Source organism: Homo sapiens, chromosome 3 (assembly GCF_000001405.40).
Source record: "Homo sapiens chromosome 3, GRCh38.p14 Primary Assembly".
Lineage (NCBI taxonomy): Eukaryota > Metazoa > Chordata > Mammalia > Primates > Hominidae > Homo > Homo sapiens.
The window spans coordinates 100,162,103-100,182,973 of NC_000003.12; the positions used below are offsets into that span (position 1 = coordinate 100,162,103).

General features: G+C 39.1%; 1 protein-coding gene across 2 annotated transcripts in view; it reads left to right on the forward strand.

The window, feature by feature from the left end:
* CMSS1 (cms1 ribosomal small subunit homolog) overlaps nt 1-19,630 on the forward strand; it is a 363,871-nt gene extending 344,241 nt beyond the window's left edge. For both annotated transcript variants that reach the window (NM_032359.4, NM_001167924.2), the window contains exons 4-10: nt 201-330; nt 4,233-4,292; nt 5,636-5,738; nt 9,737-9,797; nt 10,214-10,301; nt 14,225-14,313; nt 16,203-19,630. In NM_032359.4, coding sequence (NP_115735.2) covers nt 201-330; nt 4,233-4,292; nt 5,636-5,738; nt 9,737-9,797; nt 10,214-10,301; nt 14,225-14,313; nt 16,203-16,286 — 615 coding nt within the window. In that variant the 3' untranslated portion in view covers nt 16,287-19,630. The remainder of the gene's footprint in view (nt 1-200; nt 331-4,232; nt 4,293-5,635; nt 5,739-9,736; nt 9,798-10,213; nt 10,302-14,224; nt 14,314-16,202) is intronic.
* Nucleotides 19,631-20,871: the final 1,241 nt, after the last annotated feature.

Consider the following 20,871-nt stretch of genomic DNA (forward strand, 5'->3'; position numbering starts at 1 on the left):
CATTTTTTCATTTTTCAAAGCAATAGTTATGTCCAAGAAGTATTTAGTGAATTTTCTCAAATGTATTTATTAAAACCCACATTCACACTTGGCTAACACCAAAAGCTATGTGCCGTTTAAATGCCAGAGGAACTAACCTATTCCAACCAAATGCCATTTTAAAATATGTCGTCCCATTTTTCTTCTTTCTCATATCTTAGAAGAAAATTACTGATGTTCTTGCAAAATCAGAACCAAAACCAGGGTTACCTGAAGACCTACAGAAGCTGATGAAGGACTATTATAGCAGCAGACGCTTGGTGATTGAATTAGAAGAACTGAACCTGCCAGGTATAGCCAAGCTTCAATTTTCCTAAAGACAAGGAGCAAAACATAAGTATCTGTTATGGTTAGGTGTCTCAGGCAGTCAATTAACACATTTTCCAGCGGGCATGGTGGCTCATGCCTATAATCCCAGCACTTTGGGAGACTGAGGCTAGAGGATCGCTTGAGCCCAGGTGTTTGAAACCAGCCTGGGCGATACAGTGAGACCTCATCGCTATTAAAAATAAGAATAATAATAATAATTGTTTAAAGAGACATACTTTCAGGCCAGGCACAGTGGCTCACGCCTATAATCCCAGCACTCTGGGAGGCTGAGACGGGTGGATCACTTGAGGTCAAGAGTTCAAGACCAGACTGGCCAACATAGTGAAACCCCATCTCTACTAAAAAATACAAAAATTAGCTGGGTGTGGTAGCACACGCCTGTAATCCCACCTACTTGGGAGGCTGAGGCAGAAGAATCACTTGAATCTGGGAGGCCGAGGTTACAGTGAGCCAAGATGACGCCATTGCACTCCAGCCTGGGGGACAGAGCGAGACTCCATCTCAAAGAAAAAAAAGAAACATAATACTTCTTTTCCTCAATCTAATAGTTTTAACTGATAGATTATATCAAATAGTTTTAACTGATAGATTATATCCTTACTGGATGCTAAACAGTATTTGTCAAATCTAATATTAAGATTTGTGATTGTATTTTTTTATTCAAAAGGTTAATTGTTGGGTGTGCATTTTTAACAAACTATTCAATGAGTAGGAATTCATCATGAGGATAGAAGTTGAAGTACACATTTAAAAGTATGGATGTGAAACACTGATTTACTCAACTATTATAGACAAGAACTTTAGCCTTAATAAGCAATTTAGTTTTGTTGTTGCTCTTATTATGGATTTCTAGTCATGGTTTTTAGAATAGTATTTTAGGTTGCAGGCCAGACTCTTTCAAGCAAACTGTCAAAAGGTAGGAACAAAATTCTGTATGTTTTGCGAGGCTGACACTTTGCCTCAAGGGATTCTTAGGCCTACTAGAATTTTAGATCCTCTGCCTTAGTGTATTTATAATTAAGCTAAAAGATATTACAAAATTTAAACAGCTAATTTTTTAAAAATATTTATTTATTTATTTTAGAGACAGTGTCTTGTTGTGTCGCCCAGGCTGGAGTGCAGTGGCACCATCGTAGTTCACTGCAGCCTCGAACTCCTGGGCTTAAGTGGATCCTCTCATCTCAGCCTCCCGAGTAGCTGGGAATATAGCCACGTGCCACCATACCCAGCTTAAACAACTAATTTTAATTAATTTCAAAATTATAATGCATCCTTTAACTCTTTTAGGCAGGGATGGGAGGAAATAGATGTTGTCATAAAATCAAACCATAAAAGTTTGGGTACAACTGCTTCAGATGAGCTATTTATAGACTACTAGGCATATCTAATATTGCTTTTGGAAAAAGTAGAGGGTGGCTTGATTTCCGTTTTCCATTACAACTTTATGCTTTCTAGAAGCTTGAGAAGCTGAAAAACAATCTGTTCCCTGAATTTTTATAATTCTTTTGTGATATCCTTTTTCAAAAACACACATTGGGTTTGGAGACATGAGTGCCCTGTCTGTTTTCCAAGGAGATTACCCTTTAGGGAATTGAAGGAGTGCATTTGCACATGAGCAGGATCTGGACTTTTAGACTTACTAAGCCCAGACAGTTCCAATAGCAGTTATAATCCACTCTTCTCAGCACACCACGGCCTCTGCTGTGAAAACTATGTCCTGACTGCACTATCACAGGAACTATTCTAACAAAACCACTTTTGAAGCTTTAACTGAAGTTTAATTTTTACTGTGACTCAATGGTCAGTTTTCCATTCTAGTTCTTTGTTAGAGCAACTTGAACTTAGGAAGGATTTGTGAGCAGTGGGACCACTGCTGTTCTGTAACCTCATGGAACATCGTAAACCTTGCTCCTCTCTGGAGTTAGAGAGAGTCAAAGCTCAGAAGAAACTTTTAAGGAGTCATTTGAGTTCCATAGTGAATTTGTTTGGTATTATTGTTTTATTAGAGTTCAGTAATATAGTTAGGCAAGAATGTGTGGTCATGGTTTGGGGAGGAAGGAAAATATGTTTGAAATAACGTTATAACCAAAAAGGACAGGTTTTTATTTTTAGTTAAAAAAATTAGGCCATTTAAGACACAATAAACTGAGACATCAGAGGAAGGTTTGAGAGAACAGGCCCTGGTCACTACACTGATGAGACCAAGGACAGAGAATAGATCTAAGCTAGATGTGGGGAAGGAGATACAGTGGGTTATTTGGAATAGGCTCAAGGAGGGACATAAATCCCCTTATATATACACATATAAGGTAGATATAAATAATAACATACTGTTCCTATTTAGTTTGTCGAGCCTCTGACTTGGTTTTGATTTGAGGTTGTTTGTGTCTGTAGGGCAGGAACATGTCTTTTCAATTAATATTGTGCACTGTACATTGTTAATGTCATACACATGGGCACTTAATTAGGATTTCAAGGTTGGAGTCACCCGGAGCTAATTAACTTCTCTGCTGTCTCCTGAGAGCTGCAGTGTGATTTAGATTAGTGATTCCTAATTGCCTATAGGCTAGTTGCAACCGAATCACCCAGGAACTTCTTAAAAATCAGATTCCCAGGCCCACCCCCAAGAGATTCTAATTCACTATGCAAAAGAGACTTCATCCCAGAAATCTGTATCTTCAGTTCTCCAGGTGAGTCTGATCATATCCAGGCTTGGGACATTATAAAGACCACCAAAGGCTCCACAACAATATAGGAGAAAACAGCTTTGAATTACTCACTTAATGAGTTATATGTGCTGGGTCACAACATAAATTTCATTTTGATCAGTCCAGCCCCTGTTTTATTTTAATGTGTTATATTGTTTTTTATTGTATTGTTATGTTGTGTTGTATTTTGAGACATTATTCTCATTCTTCCCTAATCCAAACTCTATTTTCATATGATAGGAATTTTTAAAAATATATATATATTCTTATAAAATATGTCATCCTGTGTATGTATATACATATTAAAATGTATCTAAAATGGCTTTGTGCTAATGCTTTCGTTCTGTTTCTTTCTTCACTTGACACTTTTTCCAGATATGACTAAGTAATTTTATGCATATCTAGTTCATTGCTTCTAAATGCCACATAATATTCCAGCGTTTCCATCTACCACATATACTCATCCATTTCCCCAGATATGGACACCTAGGTTGCTTCAAGCACCCTGCTATCACAAATAATGTCAGGATGAATATCCTTGTGTGTGTACCTTAATAGACCATGCAAGAATTTCTTTCTATTATTTACCTTGAATTGAAATGATAGAATTATAGGGTATATACATATTAATATTATTACTTTCCAGAATATCTATACCAGTTTATACTTCCACTTACAGTTCACAAGAGTTTCCATCAACTTGCATTCTCAACAACACTTGGTATTATACATATTGCTAATAGTTGCCATTCTAATGAGTGTGTAAAGTATGCTCATTATATTAACTTGCACTTCTCTGATAACTAGTGAGTTTCAACATGTTTACATAGATTTGTTAGCCACTTCATTTTGCATTTGTGTAGTCCCTATTTTATGGATTTGGAAAATAAAGTTGCTTCATAAATCTGCTGAGTGATGTAAGAAGCTCCTATTTCACTGCTCTAAGAAATTATGGGCAGCTCCGTGACAGGTTAAAAGTTTACTTGTTGCTGCTGCTGTTATTTTAAATATAGGCAACACTTTAAGATATAAAATGGGCCCCCAATTCACTAATATTTTACAACCTTATACATCACTCATAACTCACATATAATCTGTTTTGATTGTGTGTGTGTTTACAAAATTATCTACAAAGCATGTTTATTATATTTCTAGACTCCTGTTTCCTCAAGGCCAATGATTTGACTCACAGTCTTTCCTCATACCTAAAAGAAAGTAAGTAAACTCTGATTTTAATCTATTTAAACTCATTCTTATTTTGCTCTGGTTTTGGGAATTTAGGTTTTGGTCTCGTTTTTGTTTTATAACACATTAGGCCATTATTGCTCTAGGAATCCAGAGAATGGTGTTCTAGTCCCAGGTCCCCCACCAATTTGCTGTTTGACCTGAGACGAGTCACTGAGTACTCCCCTGGACTTAATTTCCTATCTGAAAAATAAGGAAGATGGACTATGTGATATGTGTTCCATCTGTGAGATTCTGAAATTCTGTTTGCATGTTTACCACTCAGACCATGGCTATTGTGAAGTCAATCTAATTTTATCTTTTCAAAATTTATTTTTTGGGAGGCTGGAGAGGGACAGGGTCTCACTCCATCTCCCAGGCTGGAGTGCAGTGGGTCTGGTCACAGCTCAGTGGAGCCTCAACCTCCTGGGCTCTAGCGATCCTCCTGTCTCAGCCTCCCAAGCAGCTGGGACTATAGTTGTGTGCCACCACAAGCAGCTAATTTTTTTTTTTTAATTATTTTTGGTAGAGACAGGGTCTTTCTATGTTGCCCAGGCTGGTCTCAAACTCCTGGGCTCAAGAGATCCTCCCCACTCAGCCTCCCAAAGTGCTGAGATTACAGGCATGAGCTACTGTGTCTGGCCCTTCAATATGTATTATATGTAGCCAGCAGTAATTAAATTATTCATATCAACTGTTCATTTATTCATGGCCAGCAATGAAATAGTTTAGATATAGGGAGTTTCCATTCTTCTTTCAAACTACAAGCAATTCTGATGACACTCAACTTGAGTTCATAAACCTTTCTCAGCTTCAAATTCAGAAAATGTAAATCTAGGTAATAATAGAATCAAACTCACTAGATTATGAGAACTAAAAAGAAAATGTATGTAAAGTGCTTAGCACCATGTCAGTATTTAGTAAATGTTTGCTGTTTTTAAATGTTTGTTCCATTTTATATCTTATGTTGAATGTCCCTTTAAAATTTAACATGATTGAATCAGCATTTGTTTCCTATTTAATCAACATTGTCTTCAAGTATCAAACCTAAATTAAAATATCAAAAATGTAATATTCCAAATTTTTTTACTTAATTTTAAAATTAGTCACATTTAGGGACTTGGTATGTTTGTTTTGTGTTACAAATTAATGATACTTTATTTTAATCTAATATTTACAATAACCAGAAAATTGAATTACAATTGTAATTATAATGAACCATGCTTACTATATTTTGTTTTGTTTAAATACTCAACAAAGAAGAAATGCTCAACTTGGGAGGTGTGCCCTGTTTTGCCATATTTCAAATAATTGTTTTCTGTTCTTTTTTCCAGTTTGTCCTAAGTGGGTAAAACTTAGGAAGAACCACAGTGAGAAGAAATCGGTCCTGATGCTGATCATCTGCAGCTCGGCCGTCCGAGCCCTGGAGCTCATTAGGTTGGAAGGTTCACCTATTCCATATCATAAATGTTTTCTGAATAACTGATATATGCCAAGCTATTATGTTCTATGTGCTGGAGATGTAGCAATAAACAAAACAGAGTCCCTGCCCTCATGGAATTTATATTTCAGTGGGGGAGACAGATAATAAACAAATGAAGATACATTATAACGTCAAGTACATTGATAAGTTATGTAAGGAAAAAATAAAGCATGGCAAAGGGATATAAGTAGATCAGGACTACTTTTAAAAGGGTGGTCACAGAAAGCTTCTCTAAGGAGATGACAATTTGATCAGAGACTTGAACAAAGTGAAGAAGAAAGCCCAGCAGCTATCTGGAAGAAAAGCATTCCAGGTAGAGGGGAGAGTAAGCACAAAAGACCCCAAGATAGGATGCCATTATAGGATTTTGAGGACTTACTTGATCTGAATCATCATTTTAAAGGTTCACTTTGGCTGCTGTGTGGAGAGCACACATTATAGAGAGCAAGGGTAAAAGCCAGATCATACCCCAAACAACCAGTTAGAAGAAAAGATCTGACTTAAAATAGTAACAAGAAAAGACAGAAGCCGGGCACAGCAGATTGTGCCTATAATCCTATCACTTTGGGAGGCTGAGGTGGGAGAACTCTTGAGCCCTGGAGCTTGAGACCAGCCTGGGCAACATAATAAGACCCCATCTCCATTATAAAAAGAAAAGATAGAATACCATGGAATATACTTACCAAAACTTATGTACAGACAACATCATCTAAGGGATGCAGAAAACTTGGACAATCAAAAATGTATACCATATTCTTGAACAGGAAAACTCAATATTGTAAGGATGTCTGTTTTACTCAGGGTAGCCTTCAGATTTCACACATTCCTAGTAAAACTCCAATAGAATTGTGTTGTTTTTTTTTTTAACTGGATAAACTAGTTCTGAATTCTTATGGGATAATATACAACTAAAAATAGGCAAAGAAATTCTGAAAAAGAATACTAATGAGAGGATTATATTCCTAGAGATTACAAATTATATATATATATATATACACACACACACATATATATATACACATATATATACACACACACACACACGCACTCTGAAGTCTCAATAAAATAATTAACAGTATGGAACTGGCACATGCATGACAGATCAGATGAGTGGAACAGAATTGAAAGTTCAGGATCAGACCCAAATGCATATGAAAATGTAGCATATGCCTAAGGTGACAAATCAGAAATCAGTAGGGAAAGACGGATTGTTTAATAAGTGGTGTTGGAACAACTGAGTAGCCATCTGGAAAAATAAAGTTGGATTCATATCTCACTTATAACAAGATAAATTCCAAATGGAATAAAAACTTAAAGGTAAAGATTATGTTTTAAAGATAATTTGTCAGTGCTTTACTAAGGGCTTGCACATACGTTTTCATTTACTATTGTTTTTGTAGAATAAACAAAAAGGCTTCCACTGGTCAGTGGTAATATTCAGCTTTCAGAGAAGAGCCGTGAGAGTCAGATGGGATTTGCTAGGACCAGCTCTCTCTGAGAGCCTGGCTCTGGGCCAGGCTTTGACAGGAGACAAAACAAAGGAAAATCCAAGTCCTGAAGAAAGAGGAACTTGGTCAAATAGACTAAGGTGCAAATCTAGATATTCAATAGTTATTTACATCTGTTTTTTCTAAATGAACTAATCTAATCATGAATTTAGAAAAGTAGTTGTTAAACTGAAATAGTCCTTCAAACCCTCCTTTCTCCACTGAAGTGGAGACACACATTAAATTGTATCACATTATGCACACACATTAAATTGTAGCATATAATCTCCCAGTGAAACACTTGTGTTTCTTTCCATTTTTTCTGCTCTAAACATAATTATCTTGAAGATTCCAACTGCTTCCGGGCAGCTGTACTTGCCGGTCCTGAAATCATGGGAATTCACACTGACTTTTCAGTGCTTTAAAAACTACCTCATTTCACATTCAGATGCTAAGGGCAAAGAGTGTGGCCTGGAGGTGGACTCTTAAAATAAAGCTATCAAATTGATTTGAACTTTTGTTATACATAAATTCCTTACTGAGGGCATAAAAGTACTGTGTTGTCACACTTCATTTACCAATTTGCAGTATTTTTTTGTGTCCCCAGTAATACTATGATCCATTTCAAGGTTAGGTGATTTACAAAAGGTGATTTCTGAGTAGGCACAACAAGCCCTATTCATAAAGACTAATATTTAATAATTCTAACTTTTATAAGAACATCTGTTCTATTGAGAGCCATGACTTATTTTAAATTGTCTTCCTGGTTAACCTTGCCATGGAGAAAGCTTATGTGTAAGTAAAAACTTGAGGCAACAGAACTTGTATAGCATGATTCACTATTTTGCAAACTCATATGTTTTTACAGGTCAATATTTCTCAAAATATAATAATGATATATGAAGGAAAGTAGAAAACCCATGTTAGGTCTGTCCTCAAATATAGATGATATATAGAAATACATTGAACAAATGAGAAACAGGTTGTGAAAATAGAAGCAAGGAAAAAATAAAGAACAGAAAATTAGGTGAAGCGAGCTAGAAATGGTGCTGAAAATCACATCGATAAATCCCTGTGCAGTTGCAAAGGTGGCCCCAACTGGGGGCCTGCACTTTCCAACAGCCAGGATCTGTTGGGAAACATTATCAGTTGCCAGATTGATGACATTCTGTGGGTTTAAGAAGAAAAAAAAAGAGTTCCCTGAGAAATAGTTTTCCCCTCTGTGACATAGTGACAGCAGCATTCTCAGTATCATCTGTACAACAAAAACCCTGGACAGATAATGTTATGTGGCTGTTTATAGAGCAGCTGTTGGTGCCAGCTGAGGACCTGATGCCAAAGTAGAGGTAGAAAGGCAGGCACGGCAGGTGCACCAGCGCCGTCTCAGCCCTCAGAGCTGGTGGTCTGGATTGTTGTAGATAGATCTAGCTTCTTGACTACCTAGAAACTAAATGGACTGCCTGTCCTACTGGTGTAAGCCAGAGACTGTAAAGTGACAACTCAAAGGCTAAGTTTACCCTACAAGTGTTTGGCACCTAAAAAATTTGTGAGTGACTTGCCCATATTTAAAATCAGATTGCACATATAAAAATCTAGATTTCTGGCTTCTCTAAAAATCAGAGAGTCTTAGGCCCATAGTCTCACATCATCATAACTGGCAAAGCTGAGCACTAGTTGACCCCTTTACGGGGGGCATCACTCTCAAGTGCCCCTCAGTCTTCACCCCTGCTTCCCAGATCACCTCATTTACAATAACCCCCTGCCCTCATAGCTTTAATTCAGCCAGTCCTTTGTGTCAGTGGTTTCTTCTTACTTTTTTTCCTTCCTTCTTTGCTTCCTCTTTCCCTTCCTTCCTTCCTTCTTTTCCTGCTTTTTGGCTGAAGCTTCATTTCCACCTATAAAATTTTATAGAGGAATTTAGTCTACAAAGTAGATAAGAAAGGACAGCTGTGATAGAAGGATAGAAGCCCCCCCTCTTCCCCCTTTCAAGCTCATCTCCTGGCTTCCCTCATGGCCACCACAGGCAGACCTTTGTAGATGCCCTTGGCTCCACAGAGAACGAGCTGACATCACCGCTCCAAGATATCTTTTGCAACCAAATTTTGTATGAGAACTGCACTGCATAGTTGGAAGATGAATTTTCTGCCAGGGACCTGAAATACAGGAATTCTGTATTACAAATGAAAGGCAGGTCATGTGTTTCAGTAATCAAGGAAGCCTAAGTAAGGTTGACCTTGTGTATGGCAGTGTAAAGCCAACCCAGATATGTGCCTGAATAAAAGGCCACCCCACTCTCATTGCAAAGATTGGCTAACCTGCAAATCTCAGAATTTGTATGTACATATGCACATATATACACACGTATGCACACATCCTTTGAATAAAGCAAGACATAATACTTAAGTAGTCATCGTGGCCTAGAATGAGTTGGTTTTCTTAAGCATTCACCTGCTTCTTTTCATTAGGTCGATGACAGCATTCAGAGGAGACGGCAAAGTTATAAAATTATTTGCAAAGCACATAAAGGTAAGCAAGGGCCTGTGTGATCCCTAAAGGCCTCTCCCAGACCTCAGCTTTTTTCCTTTCAACCTCTTCTCCTAATCTCCTTAGCACATATTTTATTGAGTTCCTTCCTTATGTAACATTTAACAACTTTTCTGGTTTTTTAAATTCTATGCTTCTGCATACCTACCTCCCCAGTATGGCAGTCGCTACTGCCATGCTCTGTCCCTGTATAGAACCTGAGGCTTGACCCTTTGATTCCTTGAAGATTACCAGTTTTCTAGGGATATGCTCATCTCTGCCCTGGAAGTCGACCCTACACAAGGGTAGCTCCATTTGTATTTCACTTTCTTAACTTTGAGATAAAATGTTCTAAATTGGTGTAAGATAGCACTTTCTTAATGACTTCCTTTTCTTTCTTCTCTTTCATCTTGGAACAGGTCCAGGCGCAGGTAAAGTTGCTGGAGAAGCGTGTGGTGCACCTGGGTGTAGGAACTCCGGGGAGAATTAAAGAACTTGTTAAACAAGGTATGACAAGAGGGCAGTGATACTCTTGCCCAGGGCTGGGAGTTTGCCTTACCTACATGTGAGTCTCAGAAACTAAATTCAGGATATACAAAAACCAGACCTCTGTGTTAATTCAGGAATTGGAAACTCAGCCTTTAATCTCTGAAACCAACCAGCAAGTATAGCACAATAGGGAATGATAAGGACTGTGGCAAACTGAAGTACGTGTGCCCACCTAAACAGAGTCAAATTCCAGCTGCTATAAGCAGGTTAGTGGTTCCACATAGCCTTCATTCCACCAGTGTGCAGCCACTGCTTGAGTTGAGCAGTTCCCTGTCACTCCACTGAGTCTTGGGGAGACTCCCATTTTGAGGGCTGGTATATAAAACATACTAAAACAAAAAACGTAGTTTCCATGAATGTAATGCAGGCATTCCATAATAGTTCTTCCCAAATGTGTTTCTCTTTTAGTGCTTTACAGAAAGTATTCTAGACAACATCCACTGGTGGGTTTTTATAGTTTGCCAACTTTCTCAAAGCCAGTAGCCTAAGAACCTGCTAACCTGCCAATTATCTTATTACCTCTTCTACCTACCAGGCAGATTGAATGATTTCTTTTCAATACTTATTTCCAAATTACTTATGTATTATATAATAGAGCTTTTTTTTTAAATAACTGTCTGGAGCTATTCTCAGATTATTTTATATATCTAAAAGTAATGTGTTCATCAGTGTAGTAACTCATTATAGAGATGGTCATTTGCCAGGGAGCAACAAAAGCTAAAACTACTGTTGTTTCTCTCCAGATGAAAATCATCCAGGGTTAGTTGAACCCACTATATGCAGAGTTTTGTACAAATACCAACAACTAACAAATTTGGCTGCCCCTGACAAGGAAGGGAAACAACACTTTCGAGTTCCTACTTGTACGCAGCGCTACGCTTGACACCCTTACATATGTTACCTCATTTAGCACTCACAGCATCCTTACAGGCTAGCCTTTTTATTTTTTATGAGAGAGAACTGAAGCTCAGAGGGTTAAGTCACCCTCCCCAAGGTCTGTCAGTCTAGGCTCTCCTGGTTCTAGAGCCTTTTCCCCTCAAGGAGCTCCTGATCCAGCTGAAGAACTAAGTGTACATAGACTGAGATCGATAGCATGAGGCAGTAAATGCCAAGAGCCAAATGAGCACTTCTAAGTCCTACAAGAGTTGAAATGAGAAAGAGATAGTTATGCTGGCCTGAATCTGCAGGGCAGGGTCTTTAACTGATCTTTGAAGTGTGGGGAGGATTGAAATAGGCCGGGAGGGTCAGAGGAAGCATTCATGAATGGGAGAACAGCCCAGTGAGATTCTCAGAAAGCAGGCACATGCACATGGTATATCACAAGGAATTGATGAGGAGGTAAAACAATGTTGCAGTTAAGAGCCCCTGTGATGGACTCAGACCTCCAGATTCAAATCCCAGGTCTAGCAACTTACCAGCTCTGTGACCTTGGCAAGTTACTTAACCCTTCTCAGCCTGTTTCTTTGTGCGAACAACAGGGATAGTAATAGTAGCTACTTAGAGGTTTGTTATAAAAACAAAATGCCAATAAAGAGCTCAGCACAGTAAGTGTCACACCCTAAACACTTAACAAATATTAGTTATTTATTAAAGAGACCAACTTTCTTGCTTGGAAACTTCGTGGGCTCTAGTAGCAGCTGATGTAACTGGAAAGAAATTTGAGGAAAGTCCTTGAACAGTAAGCTGAGGAGTTTGGATTTTTGTCTTGTGGACATCCTATGGCATTTGAAAGTTAAGGAACAGATGAGAGGCACCAAGGCCTTCTATGAGACACAGATTTGGGAGTAATTGGCTGGGTATCAGAAGCTAAGGATGGACTCTCAGGTTGGTTCCTGCCTCCCTAACAGCTTTTAGCTAAAGATTCACCACCAGCCCCTCCTGGAATCCAGATTTTTTTGTGTGTCACCAGACTTCCCCAGCCCCCACCCCATGCAACAGGATTACTCTTCTCTGTATTTAAAAGAAAGAGAGGAAGAGAAAAAGCAAAGCTATCCAGACTATTGAAATCAGATCTCTACAGAGTTGTGAGACCTCAATATGAAGGCTTATTTCATATGGAAAAATCATTTAAAGGGCGATTTTTAAAAAAATATTAATGAAAATAATTTTTACATCTGATTCTAATTGGATGAATGGTTTCATATTCATTAACCACAGGTATTTGCCTACATACAAAGTGTTTAAAGAGAATAGTCCCAGCACCCTAAAAGTGAAAAATCTAACAGAGTGACACCAATAGCATATATGTAGCTGTTTATGACTTAATAAGATGTTTATACGTTTGATATATAAGGAGAGTTTTCAGACATTGAAAGATATCCCATGACATTGGGATGTATACAATTACAGGCAATTGTGTTGTTTTAATTTAGTAATGAAGGGGATTTTCTGACTATAGGAGCCTTTGAAAATGCAAAAATGTACAGAGAAGAAAACAAGTCACTTTAGAAGCAATCTCTTGTTAATAATGAATGTATTTCCTTTGAGTCTTTTTTCTATACAATTTGTATGTTTATTTTTATACAACAGAGATTGATTATACTGCATCTCATAACTTTATAACCTACCTTTTTCACTTGCTATATCTCATGAGGACTTACCTTCCTTGTCATGAAGCACGTTTAATTTTTCATTTGTATAGCTACACTATTTACAATATTCTATTGTAAATTTATTTTTTTGCAATTCTATTATGGTAGACTTTGGGTTGTTTCTAAATTGTTGCTATTATAAATAATGTGGCAATGATCATTTTTGCAAGTAGCTATGTTTATGTTTCTGATGCTTCACTGGGATATGTCATAGAAGGAAATTTATTTTATCAAATAAAAGCATTTTGGCTGGGCACCGTGGCTCATGCCTATAATCCCGGCACTTTGGGATGCTGAGATGGGCAGATCACTTGAGGTCAGGAATTTGAGATCAAATAAAAGCATTTTGAAGCTGTTATAATATTATGCTCAGTTTCATTCCAGAGAGGCTGTACCTATTTGCTTTCCTGAGAGCAGTTATATTAAGGGAAGACTGATGATCAACTCATTGTCTTTTCCAGTTCACTATTTTTATTTTAATTTTGCAGAGAGTTTTTAATAACAGGCATTTGAATTATAAAAAGCATGAACAAGTATTAGGGGCAAAGAGGAAAATATTTAAATACTACAGGGAAAAGCTGAGGGGAAGTGCCACAGGAGAGGAAGGCTGCAGGTACTGTTAACACAAGAGACGTGGAACAGCTTGGAGCAGAGGCAAGAACTGACTCTATGCCCAACTGTGAGACATCTGAGGACTACACATTCCCTGAGGTCCCCTTCAGCCCTCACAGTCCATAATTGTCTTCTAGACAAACAGGAAAGCAGAGAATGGAGTCATTAAGTGATTTACCAACCTCATCGAAGGATAGCTGAATAGAGCCTATTCATCTCAACTTCCTTTTCTGCCTAAAAGGAACCACCCAACCCTGTCCTCATCTTTCTCCCCACTCACCTCCTGAGAGCCCTGCAGACTCCATGGACTCAACTCCTTTGAAAGGCAACTACCCCAAACTGCGGGATTTAACTTAGCAAATCCCTGTCAGGAATGAGACTATAGCCTCTGGGGCTTCATGAAATGGATGCCTGGCCAGCGTGTGAGCATTTGAGGAGCTTAGCAAGAGCAGTTTCTCTGCTTTCCTCAGGAGGAGTGATGAGATGATAAGAAGAGCAAGTCTCAGAGTGCTGCATTTGTTTTCCATCAGGGAAGGGCAGCACTTAATGTGCGGAGATTAGTTACTGGGGGAGAGGACAACATATGAGACAAAAAGTAACCCGGAGAATAAAAAATCATTTTAATAAGCTTATGTCATGAGGTCTTTACTACAGCAACTCTCTTCCTGTCTCTTTCAGGTGGCCTTAATTTGAGCCCCTTAAAATTTCTGGTTTTTGACTGGAACTGGAGAGATCAGAAGTTGAGGAGAATGATGGACATTCCCGAGGTACCACGTAACCAGCAGTTGCCTTTAATCATTTTTTCTCTATTTGAACTTGGTTCAAACACAGTAATAAAGTCTTTGACATGAGGAGCCAGCACATGTTAGATTTTGAAATGATTTCTATCTTTTTTAACTCTGAGCTAACTATAATTATAGAGGCCACCTCATCCCCTTACACATAATTGTATCCTTTCCATGTGTTTCATGGGAATCAGCTCTGTTGCTCCTTAAATGACCAATGGCCTCTCCTCACTAGGGACCATTTTGAGAAACAAGAAGATCTGAAGGACCTGCACTTCTCCTGTGCCTTTCTTTGTAGACACACTCGTCTTTATCTTTCATTCTTATATGTGCACTTTTGGCTCGGGTTAGGGGAGCAGGGGTACAAACTTGCCTCTGCCAGCATCTCCACATGGATTCCCAAGAACCCACTTACTTAATTTAGAAAGATATTTTGGTTCATGGGGTGGGGAAATTTTTTGATGTCTCAGTTGATCAGAATTGAATGACCGAATGCATTTATGGGCACAGTATTAGCTCATTATATATTTTTAAAAACAATCCATTATCATCATAATGTGAAAAAATTACTTTGCCACCTACCACGCTATTATGGGGCTAATTTTTCAATCTAGCCTGATGCTTCACAGTAGCTGTTAGGAAAAAAAATGATTACCAGTCACTAACCAAGAACAAATCATGGCAGTAACTATCAAAGAGGCTTGGAAATACTCTTCCAAACATGCTGAATGAATTAATTTATCACATAAAGCTATATCTCCAGATTGACCAAACCTGATTATAATTGATCAGTGAGTTATTTCAGACATCAGTTCAGGTTAAAAAACAATTTGCTCAGTTACACACACGCACATGCACACACACATACACAGTCGTGCATTTTGTCCCCTGACTTGACTGGTTTCTTAAAACTGGTTTAACAAATTTGATATCAGGCATGAGGCCATAGTTGATTATTTCAGTTATAATATTAAATTTGACTAATCTACTAAGTTTCTAATTCTAATAATGAGAAATGTCCAAAAACATCTTGTCACCCATAGTTATTTTTATTCTGTTGCTGTCATTCTCAGCAGTTATCCTAAGGCAATAAAATCCTATACTGAACTATTGTATATAATCTTGTTTACAGAAAGCACACTGTGGAGTCCTTGAAACACCTTTGTATAGCATTTTATTTTGAATGGCTGCAAACAAAAGGGCACTTTAATGAAACTAATGTTTTATATAGTACCTCCTCCTTCATTTATATAAATATTTTAATTCTGCCAGGCATGGCAGTGCACACCTGTAATCCTAGTGCTTTGGGAGGCCAAGGTGGGAGGATTACTTGAAGCCAGGAGTTCGAGACCCGCCTGGACAACAAAGCAAGACCCTGTCTCTACAAAACAATAATAATAATAGGCCAGGCACAGTGACTCACACCAGTAATCCCAGCACTTTGAGAGGCCAAGGCAGGTGGATCACTTGAGGCCAAGAGTTCAAGACCAGACTGGCCAACATGGCAAAACCCTGTCTCTACTAAAAATACAAAAATTAGCCAGGTATCATGGCACACACCTCTAATCCTAGCTACTCAGAAGGCTGAAGCATGAGAATCACTTGAACCTGGGAAGCAGAGATAGCAGTTAGCCGAGATCACGCCACTGCACTCCAGCATGGGCAACAGAATGGGACTCTGTCTCAAAATAATAATAATAATAATTTTAAAAATTTCAACTCTGAATCAAATGTGTGTTAGGACTTTTGCACTCTCTGATTCTGGCCATAACAGCTGGGTAAATATCAGGGAGTCCTGATGGTTGAATGTATTCACCAAGACCATTTTGGCTTGATCTTAATCTTTTTTTCCCCCCTTTTCTCTCATTTAGATAAGAAAGGAGGTATTCGAACTTCTGGAAATGGGAGTGCTCAGTCTGTGCAAGTCAGAATCCTTGAAACTGGGCCTTTTCTAAGTCTGTGTCCTAATGAAGATTCCAGTTTTCACAGTAGAAGTTGCATCTTATTTAATGACTCTGATACATTGCAAGCACTCAGTAAATATCAGCAAATAGTTTATGTTAATTGTGTCAACAGATGGATCACTGGAATGTGGGGATTCTGAAACAGAAATGAAACTGTCCTTTTGACAACTCTCTTATATAATAAAGTATCACCGGCTTGTGTATGATCCTTGTTGAGCGGACCGTGTTTTTCTGTCACCAACTGGCTTCTGATGTAACTGTGCAGGAGAAAGGAAAGAGCAGCTGGGTGACCTTAGGCAAGCGTAAGGTCTTGCCTCTCTGAGCCCCATCTTATCAACTCAAAGTGGGAATGTCTCACAGCATTGTTGAGGATTCCAGGAGATAGTACATGGGGAGCAGATTTGTAAACTCTGAGGCATGGTCCCAGCAAAAAGGGTGGCAGGTATATTAATCCATTCTCACATTGCTATAAAGAACTACCCGAGACTGGGTAGATTATAAAGAAAAGAGGTTTAATTGACTCACAGTTTCACAGGCTGTACAGGAGGCATGGCTGAGAGGCCTCAGGAAACTTGGCAGAAGGTGAAGGGGAAGCAAGCACATCTTCACATGGCGACAAGAGAGCAAGAGAGTGAAGGGAGAAATGCCACACACTTTTAAACGACTAGATCTTGTGAGAACTCACTCCCTATCATGAGAACAGCAGAACAGCAAGGGGAAAATCTGTCCCTATGATCCAGTCACCTTCCACCAGGTCCCTCCCCCAACATTGGGAATTATAATTCAACATAAGATTCGGGTGGAGACACAGAGCCAAACCATGTCAATTCCACCCCGGCCTCTTCCAAATTTCATGTTCTTCTCACATTTCAAAACACAATCATGCCTTCTCAACAGTCCCCCAAAGTCTTAACTCATTCCAGCATTAACTGAAAAGTCCAACTCCAAAGTCTGATCTGAGACAAGGCAACTTCCTTCCACCTATGAGCCTGTAAAATAAAAAACAAGTTAGTCATTTCCAAGATACAATGGAGGTACAGGCATTGGGTAAATGCTCCCATTCCAAGTGGGAGAAACTGGCCCAAAGGAGCTAAAGGCCTCATGCCAGTTTGAAACCCAGCAGGGCACTCTTTGAATCTTAAAGCTCCAAAATAATCTTTGACTCCATGTCTCACATCCAGGCCACTCTGATGCAAGGAGTGGGCTCCCAAGGCCTTAGGCAGCTCTGCCCCTGTGGCTCTGCAGGGTACAGTCCCCATGGTTGCTTTCACAGGCTGGTGTTGAGTGCCTACAGCATATCCAGGTACACAGTGTAAGCTGTCAGTGGATCTACCATTCTGGGGTCTGGAGGATGATGGCTCTCTTCTCACAGCTCCACTAGGCAGTGCCCCAGTGGGGACTCTGTGTAGGGTCTCCAACCCCACATTTCCCCTCTGCACTGCCCTAGTAGAGGCTCTCCATGAGGGCTTCACCCCTGTAGCAGACTTCTGCCTGGACATCCAGGCGTTTCCATACATCCTCTGAAATTGAGGCAGAGGCTCCCAAACCTCAGCTCTTGCCTTCTGCACACCCATAAGCCCAACAGCACGTGGAAGCTGCCAAGGCTTGGGGCTTGCACCCTCTGAAGCAATGGTTCAGCTGTACCTTGGCCCCTTTTAGTCACAGCTGGAGCTGGGGCAGCTGGGAATTAGGCTGCCATGTCCTAAGGCTGCACAGAGCAGCTGGGCCCAGGGCCTAGCCCACGAAACCATTTTTTTCCTCCTAGGCCTCTGGGCCTGTTTGGTGGGGCTGGGGAGGGCTGCCACGAAGGTCTCTGAAGTGCCCTGGAGGCATTTTATCCATTGTTTTGGCTATTAACATTTGGCTCCTCTTGTGCAAACTTCTGCAGTGAGCTTGAATTTCTCCCCAGAAAATGGCTTTTCTTTTCTACCACATGGTCAGGCTGCAAATTTTCAAGCTTTTATACTCTGCTTTGCTTTTAAATATAAGTTATCTCTGCTTATGCAAATGAGCATAGGCTTTTAGAAGCAACCAGGCCACCTCTTGAACACTTTGCTGCTTAGAAATTTCTGCCGGATACCCTAAGTCATCTCTCCCAAGTTCAAAGTTACACAGATCCCTAAAGCAGGGGCACAATGCCACCAGTCTCTGCTAAAGCATAGCAAGAGTGACCTTTGCTCCAGTTCCTGATAAGTTCCTCATCTCCATTTGAGACCACCTCAGCCTGGACTTCATTGTCCATATCACTATCAGCATTTTGGTCAAAACTGTTCAACAAGTCTCTAGGAGGTTCCAAACATCCCTCATATTCCTGTCTTCTTCTGATCCTTCCAAACTGTTGCAACTTCTCCCCGTTACCCAGTTTCAAAGTTGCTTCCACATTTTTTAGGTATCTTTATAGAAATGTCCCACTTCTCTGGTACCAATTTTTTGTATTCTTCCATTTTTACACTGCTATGAAGAACTACCTGAGACTGGGTAGTTTATAATGAAAAGAGGTTTAATTGACTTCCAGTTCCACAGACTGTACAGGAGGATGGCTGGGGAGGCCTCAGGAAATTTACAATCATGGCAGAAGATGAAAGGGATGCAACCACATCTTGTGGCAACAAGAGAGCAAGAGAGTGAAGGGGGAAGTGCTATACACTTTTAAACAATCAGATCTCTTGAGAACTCACTATCATGAGAACAGCAAGGGGGAAATCTGCCCCCATGATCTAATCACCTCCCACCAGATCCCTCCCCCAACACTGGGAATTACAATTCGACATGAAACTTGGGTGGGGACACAGCCAAACCACATCAGCAGGGTAGTGGTAGAAAGAGCATCAAGTGAATTTGGCCCTTTGTAAACGTATAAAAAGACAACAATATAATTACAGCTGTCTTATTAACTTTTTTTTAAAAACTTTCTATTTTGAAACTTCAGGCTTAATAGAAAAGTTTAAAAAATAGAGAATTCCCATATCCCCTTCCCTGAGCTTTCCCTGTGTTAAATTCTTGTATAACCATAATAGAGTTATCAAAACTAAGAAGTCATCACTGGTACTGTATAATTAACTAAACTACAGAGTTTATTTGGATTTCTCCAATTTTTCCACTAATGTCCTTGTTCTATTCCAGGATTCACTGCAGGATCCCACATTGCACTTACTTAGTTGTTGTATCTTTTTGGTTTCTTCAGACCAGTGACAGTTCCTCAGTATTTCCCTGTCTTTCATGACCTTCACACTTTTGAACAGTATCCATCGTGTATTTTGTAGAATGTCCTTCAATTTGGATTTGTCTGTAATGTTCTCATGATTTGATTAAAGTTATGCATTTTTTGACCAGAATACCACAGAAGTGAGTATGTCCTTCTGGATTTATTATATCAGGGGTACATAATGTTAATATGTCTTATTACCAGTGATGTCAACCTTGATCACCTGGCTAAGGTGGTATCTGCCAGTTTTTTCTATAAAGTTATTATTTTCCCTTTGTAATTAATATCTATTTTAGGGGCAGTACTTTGAGGCTATACAAATATCTGTTTTTCCTCAAACTTTTGCCTGCTAATTCTAGCAAATATTGGTAGTTCTTGCCTGCGACAGCCATTACTGTAATGGTTTTTCTATTTTTCTCATTCCTTCAACATGTGTTACATTTATTACAGAATTCCTCTTTAAGAAAGAATTATCTCCTTTCCCCCATTTCCTTGTTTGTTCAATTATTTATTTACATCAGTATGGACTCATTGATACTTATTTTATTCTATGAGTTATAAGGTAATAGTATTGTTTTTTATTTTTTTGCTCAAATTCACTTTTCTTACTCATTTAAATAATGTTGATTGGTTACCCACTCTGTGCCAAGCACTGTGTTTACAACTTTCATTTATATATAAGCTGTCATGTTTAATCACTGAAATAGTCCCAAAAGAAAAAGTAAGTCACATTGTATAGACAATGAAACTAAATCTGAGAAGGGACATACACTAGTTTAAGTAGCAGAACCAGAAGTCAGACCCAGGTCTCCCATATCCACTTCAAGACACCCAACTTATCTGGAGACTCAAGCATATACAGCAAACGAGATAGGAAAGCAAACAGATGCCATTACTGATATATAAAATTCTACATTCCAATTTTGTGAAATTGTAAATGAGCCTAACAGGCTAGCAAGTCAAAATCCAGGAAATCACACAGGCCTGCACACCAGCACCTTGTTGTTCATGCACCTTGCACCTCTGTGGCCTGAAATCCACACACAGGAACTCAGAGGAAAGAGGAGTAGGTTCCATTCTCCAGGATTCCCACTAGAGTCCAGTAAGTTAAAAGAAAAAAAACCACCACAGAATGAACATTAAGCTATCGCTAAACTTAACCCTATCACTTTCATCCCTTTAACCCTAACAGGTGAGATATTCTTGGCCAATGGTAAGAAAGAAAATGGACCACATACCTTCTCAATAGAGGCATTTAACTTCCTGTCAAGTGACGTCTTAGATTAATGTGGAAAAAAAGCCATCAAGTATGATTGTATCAGAGGAGAGACTTGCAAATTAAGACACTGTGGTCTGTGCTGTCAGAATTCA